General features: G+C 32.3%; 1 long non-coding RNA gene across 1 annotated transcript; it reads left to right on the top strand.

Annotated features, from left to right (window-relative positions):
* The first annotated feature begins 230 nt into the window (after positions 1-230).
* LOC105370238 (uncharacterized) lies at positions 231-13,933 on the top strand. The gene is made up of 3 exons (XR_942028.1): positions 231-337; positions 5,729-5,919; positions 13,859-13,933. It is a non-coding gene; the product is annotated as an uncharacterized LOC105370238 (long non-coding RNA).
* The last annotated feature ends 386 nt before the right edge of the window (positions 13,934-14,319 follow it).

Below are 14,319 nucleotides of genomic sequence, written 5' to 3'. Positions count from 1 at the left end.
TCTAAACATACTTGCATTGGGGTCTTGGGTCCTCCGCTTACTAACTGTATGACTTGACTTGCAAATAATGCAATTTCTTTAAGGCTTACTTTGTACAAAGAATTATTTTGGCAACTAAATGACACAATATGTATGAGCATGTATTGACATTGCAAAGTTGTACATTTGAGGACTAATGATAATAAACTGCAATGAATAACATGAGTCACTATATTTTATCTTATAGGCATTTGCATTTGTCAACAATCTGCCTCTATTCAGTATTTTCAATTTTGTCTTTTAATATTTATTGAAAAATAATCGTAATTCATGAATAAATCCAAGCTAGTCACTGCCTGTAAGTAAACCATGATTCGATTTATTTGAAGTATGTTCTTTTCTTTGCATGGAATAATCTCAAATCATGCTATATCTATTTAAGTCATAATTGACTCAATTACAATACTATTAAGATACCCCCAGCCTTCATGTGACACCCACAATGATTTCTCTCTCAACTGAACAAATCTTAGGAAAAACACATTTGGTCCTAATTACTTATTTTCCTGTAACATTGTATGTATATTGTTAAATTATTGTATACAATAACTTAAGTCATTTTAATAAATTGTCATCTGTTAATCTGTTGCTTTTTGTATCGATACTCTACAATTTTAAACTATCGAATGTCTTAATGTCATTTGAATATTTACATTACATGTGCACTTTACATTTATGTCCACTTATTCGAATCTAAATCATTTTTGGAAGCTTTTTCAATATTATTACCTTAAAATATCTATCAATAATTCAAATTTTTACACTCTTCTATACGATAATCTACTTTATGGATTTTTGGTTTAGTTTCTATCCTCACCTAATTGTTGCATTTTGAAATGCTGTTATTTCCAACCATATTTTGAGTTCTATGAATAGAATTATTACGCGTTATATATTTTGCATTTTCTACACTATACTCTGCAATTGGTACAAAGATTATTTTCCTTAAAAATGCCCATGAAATGATAAAATTGAGAAATTCAAAACTTTCTAAAATATTTAGATTGCTACACTGAGATTGGAAGTGAATACACACCTCCAGTAAATATATAAACTGATAAAAATGGCATGTTAGACTATGAATATTTTTATTAGTAAAACAAATACTATAATATATACCTTTTTAAAGTTTAAAACAATAAAATGTATTATTATAAATTTACATTTATTTATTTTTATTTATTTTTAATTTTATTGAAATTTTAAATTCAGGGGTACATGTACAGGTTTGTTATGTAGGTAAACTTGTGTTAATTTTAGCCTCCCCTTCATTGTTGCAATGTAAATTTTATTTATTATTCATATTATACCAGCTAAGAAACACATTTTTCCTTTGATCATGATTCTTCAGACAAGTTCAAGAAATGTCTTTTGAATTTTATGATTCTGAGTTGATGACTTTTACAATCTGGGCACCGCCAAGGTTCCAAACAGAATAATATAGATGCTATGTGCAACTCAGTGAGAAAAGTATTTCTCAGCTCCTCTCGTAAAGTATAGGTATTTAAATATTTCATGTCAAACAAAAGAAGACATGTATTTTATCGGAGTTTGATTTTCCATCTTACCTCTTCTCAGATAAGAGTGTACTGCTGTCCAAAGGCTCAGGAGCACTTTAATTCAGGTTTTCTTATTCATGAAGGATGAGAACAAAGTATCTACTTTACTCCATTATTGCTGTAACTTAGTTTTAAAAATCCTGTTTATCTCTTAAACATGGAAGTGACACGAAACTTGTTTTAACTGTTTCTGAAATGAAAAGCAGAACAAAACAAACAAAAACCAAAAATCTATATGCACAGACATGCCTGCTATATACAAATAGGGCAAATTAAGAAGAGCAAGGCAATGTATGTTTTCAAGTGATGTTAATTCTGAAAACAAAATGTAGAAAAAATAAAATATTACAGGGAATCAAATAACTATTACTCAATTGAATTTAAGGAAGGGAATTGAAAGATTGCCAAAGTAGATGAGTTAAGTGGGCCTTTTGAGAATACTGAATTCTGGATGGTATGGCTGTGTCAGAGTGCCCATATTTCTATAATATTTCATTGATATATCAATCACATGATTAATGTGTGCTATTGGTTTTTAGTGATTCACTTCCCCAAGTAATCTGTTTGTTAAAATTATTTGACTTAGGAGAGAAAAATACAACATGCTGTCATTAATATAATGTCATTTTCTAGATCAAAAGTAATAAAGTCATTGTTGACAATCAAATTTGAGGCACACAATATTTTAATGGAATGAAATACACTAATAATATTAGTTCATAATTATTAATGTTACTGTTTATTTTAAATAGACAAAAACACAAACAACACAACAAGAACAAAATGTTGTGAGATGAATGAGGAGAAATCCAATAATTACCCATTAAATTAGTTGAGACACCCCTGAGTAGGAGATATTTGAGCTGCATATTGAGAGACAAACCTAAGAAAACAATTGGGAGGGAAAATATCTTTAAGTTGTCTAAGAGTACATGACATTTAAGAAATCATGTGCAAATCAGTGTGACTGGAGCATAGACTTCCAAGAGAAATAGGTTCAATGTAATTTATGAAGAAGTCCTATACGACACATTTATTTGAGGGTTTAAAAGGATTTTACATTTTGTTTTTATTGATAAAGTAGACCACCCTCACAATAACAACTCTCAACAAACTGGAAAAATATAAAGACTCATTTTTCAGAGCATTATTTCTGGCAGCCTTAAGAAAAATAGAAATTGGAGGAAGTAGGATTCCTAGTTATGGGGAAATGTCAAATGCTCCATAAGTACTCAGGGAAAGCTGTAAGTACACTAACATGATACTTTTTAAAAAATTTAGGCCAGGCACGGTTGCTCATGCCTATAATCTTAGCACTTGGGTAGGCTGAGGTGGGTGGATCACTTGAGCCCAGGAGTTGAAGACTAGCCTTGGCAACATGGTGAGACCCTGTCTCTAAAACAAATACAAACATTAGCCAGGCGTCGTGGTGCACACCTGTGGTCCCAGCTACTCAGGAGGCTGAGGTGGGAGGGTCACTTGATCCCAGGAAGTTGAGGCTGCAGTGAGCTGAGATCGCACTGCACTCAGCCTGGTTGCAGGAGTGAGACCCTGTCTCAAAAACAAACAAACAAAAGCCAATAAAATAAAAAAATAAAAAATTTAAAGTAACTTAGAGTATAAAAATATTAACATACACACAGGTATAACTAAAAATCTCATGACAAAATTTTTAACCTTACTATATTTGATAAGCTCTGATGAATTTTTCTATTTTGTTTTATTTTTATTAATAGACAAGGTTATCATGACATAACTAATTGATTTCACAGCCAGCTCATGGGCTATAACCCACACTTAAAAAATAGGGATGCTATGGTTTGAATACGTCCCTCAAATTTCATGTGTTGGCAATGTAATGCCCAAATACATATGTTGATGATATTTGAAGGTGGGGCCTTTGGGAGGTAAGTAGGATTAGATGTGGTCATCAGGGTGGGGTCCTTAGCTTGGAACTGGTGGCTTTATAAGAACTCCAGCCCGGGCAGCAGAGTGAGACCCTGTCTCAATTGAGGTAGCAGGCTTGTTCTGTCTGGCCATGTGATGGGACTCCCACCATGTCACCATGTTGTGATATAGCAAGAAGGCCTTCACCAGATGCTGGTGTTGTGATCTTGGACTTTCCAGCCTCCAGAACTAGTTGGAAGAGAAGTTTTTATTTATATATATTTTAAAGCATCATACATTATATATGTATATTAAGATGTTTACATCTTTTTTATTAAGAATTGAATGACAGATGCATAGTTCTGTCAACCCACTGCTACAGCATAAAAGTTAAATTATAGAAGGCTAAAGTTACTCAAAAGGAATTCATCTTTGTTTTGGAATGGATAACCTATAAAGTTAGAAAAAACGTCTTAAAAGTTTTTATAGTCAGATGTCTGTCATATGACAGAATAGGACACTACAGGCCCCTACTGGCCTAGATCTGGCATTGCTTGTGTCACTTTGCAGGCAGTCTCTAGTCATAAATAATTATCTACTCTTTATAAATTACCCAGTCTGTGGTATTCGGTTATAGCAACAGAAAATGGACTAATACAACAGGGAAACTAATAATGAAGTTCTGAATTGAATTATGGAGGTAAGAAAAACTTTCAAAGTACAGTTGGTTTAAGAATAATAGCTAACATTCATTAAGTACTCGGTTGTCAAGCTCATTTTATAAAGCATCTTACTCAATCATATAAAATTCCCAGGAGGTAGTTGCTATTTTTATGCAATTTTACCTATAAGAAACACACACAGAGAAAGAGAAGTAAGTAACTTATCAGAAATCACAGGTTGAAATATTAGAGCAGAAATTCAAACTTAGATTGCTTAATTATGTGTTTTACAATTAAATTGTACTACTGCAATAAGGTGATTAAATAGTCATGAGAGATAGGAGAAGAGTAGAAGTATTCAGAGATACATAAATTTTCCAAATATAACATTATAAAATTGTTATCTTGAAAACATATATATATTATATTGCGTATAGTCAAAGCCAATATTAAATGGGCAGTTGTAAAAATAATAAAAATTTTGTATAACTTTAGACAATGTCTAAACCTAAATTTTAATAAGGCTGTTAAATATATTTATTTAACAAAATTATGAGTTTTGACATGGCATAAATTAGGACTTTGACAATGTCTCTATCTACATAGCTATTTCTGTCATCTGTCCATGTATCTTTCTATGTATCTATCTGTCTATCTATCTATCTATCTATCTATCTATCTATCTATCTATCTGTCTATCCTGTTTTTTAAAGAAGCATAAACACACTGAAAACATGAAGGGATAAAATATCTAGGTAAATGAAGCATTTAAAATCAGTACTGCTTGGTAAGTTTTCAAAGAAGAGAATGAATTAAATGAATTTGTCATAAGTGCTTTTAACTTTCAGCAATCAATTCTAGGAGGAAACAAAAAATGCTACTACATAAAAAGTATATGCATTATTAAGCAAAAGAGTCAACATAGATTTCCTGGGAAGAAGGTCTTTAAAATAGTTTTATTTCTTTTTATACTGAAATAAGGTTATTTCAAGACTCCCCCTAACAAAAACAAAAGCAAAAAGAAATGATTTTTTTAGTAGAATACTTTTAAGGAGGCATTGACTTTAGCATAACAAAGTGCAATAATATTTCTTGGGTGACATGTTAGTTTATTAAATTACAACTTGAGTAATTGAGACCCAACATTCATTATGGATCCTAATTAATTACATAACCAACCATAATAAAAACATGAAAGAATGTCATTTATAATGGTGAATGATAATATTAGTACCTTGCCCATGTTTGGGTTGCATTCAACCTATACCAGGCATTTTTAATATTTCTTATACTGATAATGTAAAAATTGTAACATCCTTCAAGGTCCAATGTGAATTGTATGTCCATGAAATTTCTTAGTATTATTCGTGTATTACATTTTCAGTTTGTGAAGGAATTTAGAGGAAAGGGCAAAAAGCCACAATAAAAAGAAATTTTGTAAAATTAAAGTGAACCGTGTTATTTTTGTGTACTCCATGATACATAAAACAAAGATTATCATAGAGTAAGTACTGATTGCATTTTAAAAACTACTTATTTTCATAGTAAATCATACAATTCCTTGTAATCCTTGCTCACTAGACAAAATTCTTCAGTGTGGCCAGGCATTACTATCCAGGCTACGTTGCCTTTACCATTCGAATGAAAATGGCCAGAATCATGAAGACTGTTTTCGAGGCTGTGGATAAAATTTACTTCGTTTTAACAATGATGCTTCAGATTACTAATGCCTGTTTCAGCAGTTAAATTCATGCACGCATTGGCCCTCTTTGGTGAGCAGAACCATTTGTCACCTCTTCTTGGTAACTACTCTCTCTACCTAGACTTCCCTGCCAGCACCTCTTTGAACTTGTGATAAAGAAAGTTTGACATTAAATACTATTGTTCAACTACAAAGCACCTTTTCAGTTAAATATAACAACAACAATGCATTTATGTATGTGTCATATCGACTATAAATTGATGGCTTGTTAATTATGTTTTTTTCCTAGACACCGTAAAAAAGTTACTGGGATAATATAATTTTGTCCTTGCCACAACCCAAGGCGGGATTGTATTATGATTATTTTACCTAATTAAATGATGAGCAAATCAAAATTTTGAAATGTTAAGTAACTTGTTCATGGTATTCTTACCAGTAAGTGACAGAACAGAGATTTGAACCAGGGATTGTGCTTCCAGGACTCAAGCTGCTACAGACAGAATTGAAAAGTAGAGTATTAAACAAACAATCCATAAGCATATATAGCTAACTTAAAGTTGTAAAAATAAAAATAAATATTTTGAAAAGGAAAATTATGCTTTTTATCTCATTTCTTTATTACTTGGCTCATTGCTCTCTTCTAATATACTGTTCTCTAAATCCATTGACTAGGGGTCAACATCTAAGTCTCTTCTGGAGTCAGAAAAGAACAGGCAATAAAGTTCTATAAAGTCAATCACTGTTAGAATGATATCTACAGCTAATAGATTCAATATTTGGTTGAAAATATCTTGTGGTTAATACATCGTAAGATATAAATAGTAATAAAAATATTTTGGAGATAAAATACTTCTTTAGTGTGTGAAATTAAATATAAATACTACATAAATTCAAGCCAAATAGCTAAATTCAATTTCCCATGTAGAGCACATTTATCGTATTAAGTATGGAGCAAAGAAAGGGAGGTCAGTGTCCATAAATGGTATTTTTTCCGAAATAATGTAGTCTCTGCTCCCATAACAAACAATATCTCTTCAGTGACAGGGCCAACTATTATTTTTATTTATTTATTTATTTATTTGTTTATTTATTTATTTAGAGACAGAGTCTTGCTCTGTCGCAAGGCTGGAGTGCAGTGGTGCGATCTCGGCTCATTGCAACCTTTGCCTCCCAGTTCAAGTAATTCCCCTACCTCAGCCTCCTGAATAGCTGGGACTACAGGCGCGCGCCACCATGCCTGGCTATTTTTTTTTGTATATTAGTAGAGACGGGGTTCCAACAGGTTGGCCAGGATGGCCTCGACCTCCTGACCTCGTGATCTGCCCGACTCGGCCTCCCAAAGTGCTGGGATTACAGGCATGAGCCACCGCGCCCGGCCCAGGGCCAACTATTACTAACTACAATGAGCAATGTGTCTTCTTGTACCAGGTACAGATCAACAGCTCTGATTCTCTATCTTACAGCTAACGCCTGTAATCCCAGCACTTTGGGAGGCCAAGGGGGCCAGATAGCTTGAGCTCAGTTGTTCCAGAGAAGCCTGGGCAACATGGTGAAACCCTGCCTCTACTAAAAATAAAGAAAATTAGCCGGACATGGTGGCTTATGCCTGTAGTCCCAGATACTCGGGAGGCAGAGGTGGGAGGATGACTTGAGCCAAGGAGGCAGAGGTTGCAGTAAGCTGAGATGGTGCCACTGCACTTCAGCCTGGGCAAAGAGCCAGACCCGTTCTCAAAAAGAGAAAAACAATAGGAAAGAAAAGAAAAGAAGGAAGGAAAGGAGGTAATTTGTGTAAATGCTCAGGTAAAATTTTGCTAGACAGCTTATTTCAACTATAGCTGACTTGAATTCCAGTGAGCCCCAGTTCCTTAAATGCACCAAATTTCTTCTGAAAATTAAGGTCTCCATGGTTGCCAACATCTTCCATGACAGGCAGGTTTAGTTTCAAGGAGACTGTCTTTACTGAAATTGTCCTTAATAGTATTGCTTTTATTAATTCCTATAGGTTTTAAAGAAAAGAATTACTTCTGATATCAGTTAAACACTTTGAGTTTACCAAAGAGTAAATCTCAAAATAATCAATTCAAATACTCAGAGCCCTTGTTATGCTTACCGGAGGAACCCTTAGGAAGATTCAGAAAATTGTGTAATTGCTTATGTATAGCCCAAAGGTTTCCTCCTGAATCATTCTGTATTGTAGTAATGTTTTCATTTATTATACTTGCTTAAAATAAATATATATATGGAATTATATAAACATGTTGTATTTGGTATTGTATGAAAAAGTTTATTCTTTCAATTTTAACTTAATAATAACATTAAAATAGAGGATTTGTGAAGTCTATTATCAAAAATATTGTATTAAAATTTATTCCAGTACAGCATTGTATGGTGGATATCAAGAGGAGAATCAAATTAAAATGCATAGGTGTTTTTATTAATAGAATGTATTGGGCTTTCAAAAAAATAGCATCTAGTAAGGCCCTCCAGGATTAGTTTCAGGCCCATAGCTATTTAACATATTTATTAACAATCTGGATAGAGTGCTGAAGAGCAGATGATTCAAAATTGAGAGGAAGAGCAAATACTACGCTAGAAGATTTAAGATTCAATGAAATCTAAAGAGATTAAAAGAATGGGCAAAGGGGTGCTTAAGTCAGCTTTAGTACATGCATTAGTAAAGAAAGAAGTAAACATTTTAAATCAGAACTTTAAGCAGATTCCTCTTTTGCAATGGAGAGATTCGCAACAATGGGTTATGCCAAGCAGCATTCAGTATGTATATAATTAAATTATCCAATTATGCACATTATTGTTTAAGATCCATGCCTATGTTGTGCCAAAAGGAGACTCTCAGATGCAAAACAATGAATGAATCACCACCACAGAAGAACTATGGACAAAAGGTTAATTTTATCATAAAATGATAAAAAAATTCAACAGTTGGATATAGAACAGGAGACATGAACTTAAATCATAATGCAGGATTAAACCAGAGCAGGGGCATTGTTCTCCAGTTTTCTATAAAGAACATACTGACAATGTGGAAAACATATAGAGAACACCCAGAGAGAAGAAGAGTCATAAAATAAATCACAGTGTGGAAAATTTAAAGAGTAAAATGTGAGTGATGCAAACAGAGATTATGATGAATTGAAAAAATGAGTAGCTATTAAGAAATCATTTGATTATTATACAGAATTTCCTGAAATAATTTAATTAAAACAAAGAAAATACAGATAGAATTGTTGAGGCATTTTAAATTCAACAAAATCCTTCGCTGTTCATAATGATAGAGATTCACTGCTCTGGGTTTCAAGACATGTTTTTGTGCAGTTCAGACAGTATATTTTCCTATTATTTTTCAGACATTTTGCTTGTGTTTTGTTAACTAATACTTTAGTTGTCCAGTAAACTCATTGTGGGAACTTTAGTTTTGAAATATCCTTTTAAGGATCTTCTCCAGTATATTTTATTTGTTTTTTTTTAATAACTGCACATTTGATTTTATTTAAAGGATCTGAGAAAAAGAGCAGGAAAAATAGGACTAGAAAAACTAGGACAATTCATTGTAAGGTTATAGCAGCACTAGCCTATATTATATTCACACATAAGATGTTATAAACAATGAAAATGTAGATGTAACTTTCAGAAGAAAAGCATGTTGATATCTAATAGATGTCTAATGGAAGTATTTAAAATTAGCTAGATGTTAGAAATTGCATAAGCATGCACTGAGAATATTCAGGACTAATTAGGCATAGAGAATATTAGGGAGTGATTAGGAAGTTAATGTGATGTATCAATTATTTTAAAATGAAGAGGGATATAACTGCATTGAATATAAATTGTGATTTCTAGACAATATAAAAAATTGGTACATGTAGACCTAGTAGGGTGCTGTTTCATTTTAAAAAATCACATTACTTTTCCAACCATAAATTCCATGTTCTATATTAATTATCTAAAGAAAGTTTAGGGGAATATAATACTAAATATTTGCTGATTTTAAAGTAACACCTATTTTTAAAGGGACTGGTTAGCCCAGAATATGCATAACATTTAATAATAGTGTTTAAATAAATTTAAAGAAACTAATTTGTACCCTAATGGGACACACTGACAGGCAGGAAATGAGAGATGTAAAGATGAAATGGTGTTAAAAACCGGGAAAAAATGGAGAAAGGCCCAGGAATTACTGAGAAGGTTGTGTTTTGTGTTGGTAATGTGTTAAAGCCTCCAGTTTAACTGTTTCAGTGGTTTGGAATGATGCTTCCTTGGAAAGGCTTTGATAAACCTCAGAGGAAGACCAGTGATGCTTGGTGAGGTATCTGTGATTTGTAAAGGAGAAGTGAAGGCAAGTAATTTCAATTAAATATTAATTTAATGAGTTTAAAAACATCAGAAGTATGTTTAAAAAGTTACTCTGGACTTACCAGTGTATTAATACTGGTATTCATCCAGAATATCAGTAAAGACAGGATGATTTCTGTCACATCACATCCATTCTCCACAAAATTATCTCATGTAACAATTACGGTTTTTATTACTTACCATGAATGCTGTAATTTTTACCTATCTTGTCTAGAGTTTTCTAAAGGTTTTTTTCCCCTTTTCAGAATGACAATTCCCTTTCGTTGAAGCCTAATCCTTTATAACTTTCTGTTAGAATGTAGTCTTTTCTTATAATTATTTTTTTCCTTCTTTTCTGGTTGCTAGTTAGCATTAATACATCAATGCATAATTAGGTTAAAAATACTCTTTAAATGTATTCTGCTAAAGATATTACCACCTATTAAATTTGCGACAAATCTCATTATTAAGCACGCAAGCCCAGCCTCCTCCTTGGTATCTAATAGAAATATGAGATTATGATTCTTAAAATATCATTGAAATGAAACAAACATTTTCTATTCTCATTAAAATCTAAATTTTTCCCTTAGGAGTTTAATTTAGTGACATTTTCTGATCTCATATTACCTTTGGTTGCTATTCAAAAAATAGAACTTAGCTTTAATGTTGTTTTTATTACTTAAATTAAGAACAAGCATTACTAAGCACAGTGTTATGCATTCTAAGTGAAAGTTGCTTTTAAAACAGATACGCGTATTTTATACGTCTTTAATTTTTAAGGAGACTTTTTAAAAATTCAGACTTTATACAATTATGTTGGATGACAGTAGTAGTGGATTTCTCAAAATTATAACTGATGTAAGTCCAACTATATCAGTTAGTGCCAATAATAAACTACTACTAAATAGTTTTTGTGTATTTAAAGTTATGTCATTATGCATTTAAAAAAATTAGAATGGTAAGACCTATACATGCAAAATGCAATGGGATTTTCAAAAATATAGGAAGAAACTCTAATAATAAAAAATATCTTGAACAAAATAAAAGGCAACATGAATTGTGCTTTAGACACACATTTTCTGTGTCTGTGTACATATGTGTAAAAAACTGAACTTATGCTCATATGAAGTGCATAAAATTATGTGTGATTTTTCCTCTTGGGCAATGTGGTGATTGGAAAATTTCTGAATTACTTTATATGTTGTTACAACTTTTAAAATACAGTACTTAAGAGTTCTGATCCAAAGATAAAAAAGGACTTTATTTACCTTCATTTTACTAACTTACAGAAAAATATAAAGGAAAAAGTATAATCGGACTTCTATTGTTACCTCTTTTTTTTTCCACAAACACATAAGCTGAGCTGACTAGCACATAGGTGCTGGACATGGAATAGTAAAAATATGAACTCATCAACCATTTTCATGGCTTTTGTTTATGTATCACTTGTTAAAAGTTTAACACCTTTACTACATGAATTTTCTATAAAAATTTTTTCAAATATTAAATTTTTAGAATTGATTTTATTTAGTTATGATTAATAAAAATTAAACATAGAATGAACTATGAAATTCTATTAGAATTTATAAAATAAACCTAGGTTTTCTTGACCATAACTACCAAATTGTCATCAGCACACTACATCTAGTATTATAGAAGTTGCACATGATGTGTTTCTCAAAAAAAAAATTAGTAAATAATACTCAACAAATATGTGTAAAGAAGGAAAAAGGAGCTTTTTTCTAATAGTGAAAAAATGCTTCAATGAGTATCTATTCATACTCATCTATTTTTGATTCTTGCAAAACTTTAATATGGTAGGACGATATTTGAAGATGTTTGAAATGCAAAATTTACTCAATGAGACTTACTCCCCAAGGTCATATGTCTTGCAGCTTTGCAAGATGCTGTTTTTGGCACATAGGAACCAGGGCTCTGGTACCAGTGCCTCATTAGTTTCCTCTACAAAGGGATGAATTCCCTTTCAGAAGAATTAAATGAAAAGTCAGATAAAACTAGGGCAGAAATTGCTGCCATGGATACAAAGCTGGACCCAGTACTATAGTTGCGTATCTGAACAAGTTGTTGCACAAAACTGCAGGAAGAGCAAAGGAAACAAATAGAAGTGCTGCTGCCAAAAGAAAAGCATTCCAAGGACACAGTGGCAAGCATGACCCTGGTTTAATTTAGCTCTCTCCCAGTCAAAGTCACCCTCACATCATTAGCATGAAGAGACTGGTAATGAAGGAGGCTGTTGGGGGTGGGGAGTACATCAAAATCATTCTTGAGACAATCGATAGTAATTTTTACAATACTTAAATGAGGACTAAAATCAATACACCCTAGAAAGATATTCAGGCTGCCATATAGCTAAAAGAATGGGAATGACAAAACTGATAAAAATTAAATACAAACTGTCAGATTTAAAAGATGAAGATAAAATAGCAGAAGTTTGGCCAGCAAAAGAAGAGAGAAATTTCAGTAATATATTGTCTTCCTTTAATGTAACACCTTCCACAAAACAGAAAAAAAAACTTATGCTTACACAAAATAAAATAAAACAAACAAAACTTATTGGATTAAATAAAAAGTAAAATTATTTTATAATAAAGGGCATAAAACACATTTTATACCCTTTATAGCTATTTAAAATATTCTGAATAAGTTTTTAAAATTATGAGAATGTCATGTGATAAAGTAAAATAAATTGAATAAAAATACTAAAATAAAACTTCTTCTGAATGGAGAGAAGAAATGGAAGTTGCATATTAAGTTTCAATTGTGTTATTCACTGAAGTACATAATGCATGCATTTGGTATGACTATGATGAGATCATCATTTGTAACTTCTAGAATGTCATATATATTCTCTATCTATCCATCTATCTATATACACACTATATATATATATATATATATATATATATATATATATATATATACTAAGTGATTCAGAAAATGTGGCTGAGAGAGCATTAGGAAGTTACAGGATAGAAATAGTAAAGGTGGTTTTAGTGGGATACAACGCTTTCAGCCATAGGGCAGTAGGGAATTCTAGAGAAAATCTCACAAATTTTAAATAATTATAAGGTGTTCCTGAGAGACCTATGTAAAAGATATGACAATTGAGCTGTGTTGATGAATAATTGTGTATTTACCAGATGGCCAGGGGTGGAGTAGCATTCTAGTTGATGTGTCCTAGCAAAGTCTTTGAGGTATGAAACAGCAATAGTGAGTTCAGGGAACTGCAAGTGGTATTTTACATCCAGGGCATGAATTGAGGCAGCTTTAGTAACACCATGGAGGAGGGTTTTAATTCACCTGTAACTACAATCACCTCTACCTTCTGAGACATACCAAATAAACCTACATTTTAAAGAAAAGTATTTACTATGCCAAAGCCTAAATCCTTTAGCACCACTTTTCAGTCAATGTGCCATTTTCAATGTTCTACCAAATAAAAATTCTACATCTGTGCCGTTTAATAGGGTAGCTACTAGCTCCATGTGGCTCTTTAAATGTAAATTAAATTAAATTAAGGATTAATTTTCTCAGTTGCCCTAGCCACATTTCAAGTGCTTAATGGTTAAATAGCGACATACAAGTGGAAAGTGCAGATATAGAACATTTTCATCACCTCAGAACTTTCTATTGGACAGTGCTGACTTGGAGTGCCACCCTTGATGAGAACAGAGAGAGAAAGGAATGGAGTGAGAAGAAAAACTGGAAATCCATTAATGACTGAGAAAATGGAGGACTTTTCATGACAGATGAAGGCCTCAAAACATTGTTCTTTTGACAATACAAGACAGTAAAATAAATTAAACTTGGTAAGCATAATGAAAGGATTCGTATATCAGAAAACTTAAAAAGTGCTGTAATTTATTGAACTTCTATATGTATCAGCTTTGTGCTAGGATTTTAATCCATTTTCCCACCTCCATACTCTGTGATGCCATTTCCCCACCTCCATACTACTCTGTGATGCAGGCATTCAAAACTACTGTCAGATCTATGATAGGGACATATAGTCTCACACCTCTGACACTAACTTTCTTCATCTCTCTTCAATCCCAGTGTCCAGTTACTCTTCTGTCATCACCAAAGACTTTAGTTCTGT

The sequence above is a fragment of the Homo sapiens genome, chromosome 13, assembly GCF_000001405.40.
Source record: "Homo sapiens chromosome 13, GRCh38.p14 Primary Assembly".
Classification (NCBI taxonomy): domain Eukaryota; kingdom Metazoa; phylum Chordata; class Mammalia; order Primates; family Hominidae; genus Homo; species Homo sapiens.
This window is presented reverse-complemented; position numbering and strand designations above follow the sequence as displayed.